Source organism: Homo sapiens, chromosome 5, assembly GCF_000001405.40.
Source record: "Homo sapiens chromosome 5, GRCh38.p14 Primary Assembly".
Lineage (NCBI taxonomy): Eukaryota > Metazoa > Chordata > Mammalia > Primates > Hominidae > Homo > Homo sapiens.
In genome coordinates this window covers 170,151,875-170,155,565 of record NC_000005.10, presented here as the reverse complement: position 1 = coordinate 170,155,565, position 3,691 = coordinate 170,151,875, and the positions used below count along the sequence as shown (strand labels likewise).

The window sequence follows — 3,691 nt, the reverse complement described above, 5'->3', positions numbered from 1 at the left end:
TGACAGTAAAACAGAGTTCCATGTGTATGAATGCACGGAGTGAGTCTGGAAGATCTTACAGCCCCAAAAGTTAATGGTGGTAACCCTCTGGGCAATGGAATTAGGGGAGCTTCAGAGTGATTTTTTTTCACTTGGCAAATCTCTATTGTAATTATTTTTCCTGCAAAGATGTTTTGTGATGCATATGATGTGATAAACAAGAAAATAAAGATTGTATTTACTTTCAGATTTTTTTTTCCCTAAAGATAGGTATTATTTGTAAAGACAGTTGAACTATTGAAGGAAGAAATGACTGAATGGAGTGCTTAATGATTAATGGAGTAATGGATCCACTGAGGGGAACCCTTTTTAGGGGCAGCAGCACCCTCATCCTTCTCCTCATGCTTGAACTCCCTGGGATCTGGAGGGACATAAAGAGTCCTTTATCTTTCTCCAGGTCCCACCAAGTCTCCGAGTTTCTGCAGGTGGCTTGTTAGTCACAGAAGTGCAGGTGAAATGGAGAAAGCTGCTTATCAGCCTGGGCCAGTGCAGATGCTATCACTGAGGTCCAGAGCCACACAAGAGCCTCAGTCTGACCTGTGTTTCTCTCCTGTTCCCCCTAAGATCCCCCCACGGCCATCTGATAAGACACATTTAGCTGTCTAGTTTGCATGGTCCTGACAATTTTCATTCAAAACATATGCAAATACTGAGGGCAGGTTGCTGAGGACAGAGGTTGTGGTGAAATGCTTCTAAACTTTTAACCAAATCATTCTATTAACCCCAAGAAGAGGAGCCTTTGATTTAGGCCTCAATTTGCATCAAAAGGACAGTTAGGCCTCTGTTCATTTCTACCTCCATCTGGCGGCTTATCTCCTCTCTGGGAAAGGGGAATTAGCAACGAGACACAGTGACTTTCCCAGAAGCACTGGGCTTGTTGACTCCTGGCGAGGTGGCCACTAAAGCCCCCTTCACTCACCAGCTGGGCCCTGTATGAGATGGAGCCTGGGCAGGCTCCAGGCAGGTTCCCAAGCCACAGGCCATTGGTCAGAGTCTGCACTTGCCAGAAGCAGTGGCAGGGTCAGCTGGGCGGGCAAGGCATTAGCAAAAAGTGCTGCACTAATCCAGCTGATGAATGAACGCTCTGAAAACAGCACCTTTGGAGTGGTAACTGGATACCTTACCAAGGGAAGCAGGTGATCTCCAGGAAGGCCACAGGGAATTCTGCAGAGGCATTTCCTGCTTCCTCACCCAGGCCTGGTGGTCTCAGGCTACCTTCTTCTAAATCCCAGACAGAACATCTGTTCAGACCAGTGGTCCTGGTGGCACCTGCTTCATGGGCACACAATTTGTACAGTCACATGGGGACCTATGTTTACAAGAACTCTGTCCCCAGTTTAATGCTCTGCTGTTGCTGTCTTGAAATTCCTAATAATCTTTTTTTAAAAGGAACTCCAGATTTTTAGTTCGCACTGGGCCCCATGAACTATATAGCCAATCCTAGACCTGGGTTACAGCATGGCACTGACACGGTCCTCCGCAGTCCTGGGGAAGGCTGAGGTAGCTGCTGCGCCTGAATTTGGCATTCAAGGCCTTTTCCAGCTTAGTTTTCTGACTGCCTTTCCAGTTATCCCCATATCCCACACTCTTGGGAACATGTCACCTTCTGCCAAAGATTCTGCCCCGCTCCTCCCTGCCTTTGCGCTTCTTATTCCCTGTGAGTGGTTAACCTGTCCCTCTTATATCCGTGCAGACCCTCTCTCAGATTTCTTGACCACAGAGGAGAATCTTTTTCTTCCTGAAGATTTTTTTTGACAACCTGCAGGCAGAGTTAGTGGCTCCATCTTCTTGACACCTCCGGTTGGAGCTCTTAGTGAATTCCAGAATGATCGTGCATCTGTCTCCAACGAGTCTTATTAAAAGTATTTAACAACAGGTATGGTAAAAGCACCAAACAATCAGAGCCAGTGGACGGAGGCCAGGCACAGCCCTGGAGCAGTGTCGCTGCTGGATTTGGGGAATCAGGGTGCCCTCAGGGCCCTGAGTAGGCGCTGTATACCAATCATTAAGGAGTATTTCAACTTTGAAAAGCAGGTCCCACTCTCCGGGTGTGGCCTGGCTGACTGGAGAGCGCCCCACTCCACCATGACCCTCAGCAGGGGTCGTGTGTGGTTCCTCTGTCTGTCCTGGTGTCTAAGACAGGGCTTGGCCAGAGTCAGTGCTCAGAAAAGGAGGATGGATGGGCTGGGGAAAGTCTATGATAATGGGTTTCTTCCTGGCATCCTTCACAGAGGGAGGGAATGATGAGACTGTTTGGAAAATCTGGAGACATTCGTCTCTCCAGTTTTCCCCAAGGGCCCTTCTCAGCTAATGAACCCAGCATATTGCAAAGTGTCCTGCAGTGACTGGGAGAAAACAAAAGGAAAAGGAAGCAGTCCCAGGCCACACGCATCCACACAAGACACATAAACACATGTTCACACACAAGCATGCCCAGTATGCGTGCAAACTTGTGTGTACATACCACTCAAACCCACCACATACTACACACACCACATACTCCCCAATACACCCTCATGCCTCCTAAAGCCAGGAGCAACCCATGGGAGCCAGCATGTGGGCCAGGTGGGCATCTGTGCTGGGTTAGGAGAATGGCCAGGGGGTGGGGGCTGCATGGATGCTCTAGAGGGAGAGAGGCCGTGGTGCTGGGAGGATCTGGAGAGGAAGAGAGGAGGGAGGCCAAGGGCACAAAGGAGAGAATGGGGCAGCAAGGCTTCATCTGGCTGGGGCAGAGAATGGGTCTTAGGAGGCCAGGAAGAAGGAAGGTACAGACAGGCAGGTTCTTGTAGGGGGAGGAAGGAGGAGACTCACGTGTGGAGAACCTTCTGCGTGTCAGGCATACGCTAGAGGTACTGCAGGTATCATCCCTGCTAATTCTTATACCTACCCCATGAGGTAGATGTACATCCCTCACTGCAAGGGGGATGATCCTCCTATTTCACAAATCAGGCTCAGACCGATGAAGTGACCCGCCCAGGGCTCCACAGCTGAGGAATGGAGCCCAGGTGTAGACCCAGGTCTGCAGGATTCCAAATCCCCTGTTATGTCCCCGTTGCTGTCCATCTGGTAAAAAGGTGTGTCTTTTGGCCTTTATTCCCACCTGCGCTGGGCCACACTTCTTGTCTTCCTAAAGGATGCACCTGAGCAGCCCATCCTCCCATCTTACATTTCCATGAACTCTAGCTGGGAAAGCATGGGCACTCGATGCAGGGCAGGGGATCGAGGCCAGCCCCCGGCTTCTCAGCCTCAGCACTACTGACAGTTGCAGCCAGATCATTCTTCATTATGAGGAGCTGCCCTGTGCCTTGTAAGATGTTTAGCATCTGTCTTAGTCCATTCGGCTGCAATACAAAAACATATTCGGCTGCAATACAAAAACCATATAGCTGGTGGCTTCTAAACAACAGAAATGTATTTCTCCCAGTTCTGGAGGCTAGAGGTCTGAGATCAGGGTGCCAGCATGGTCAGGTTCCCACGAGGGCCCTCTTCGGGGTTGCAAACTGCTGACTTCTCTTTGTATCCATACGTGGTGGAGAGAGAAAGAGAACACTCTGGCCCCTTCTTACAAGGGTACTAGTCCCAGTTATGAGGGCTCCTTCTCATGACTTAATCACCTTCCAAAGGCCCCACCTCCTAATACCATCACATGAGG

At 49.9% G+C, this 3,691-nt stretch overlaps 1 annotated feature.

Annotated features, from left to right (window-relative positions):
• Window positions 509-1,039: an enhancer, noted in NCBI's record as "H3K27ac-H3K4me1 hESC enhancer chr5:169581531-169582061 (GRCh37/hg19 assembly coordinates)". NCBI's record gives its function as "activates a minimal SCP1, AML or CMV promoter by ChIP-STARR-seq in naive H9 embryonic stem cells {active_cell/tissue: H9 hESC(naive)}" and the evidence as "EXISTENCE:reporter gene assay evidence [ECO:0000049][PMID:30033119]".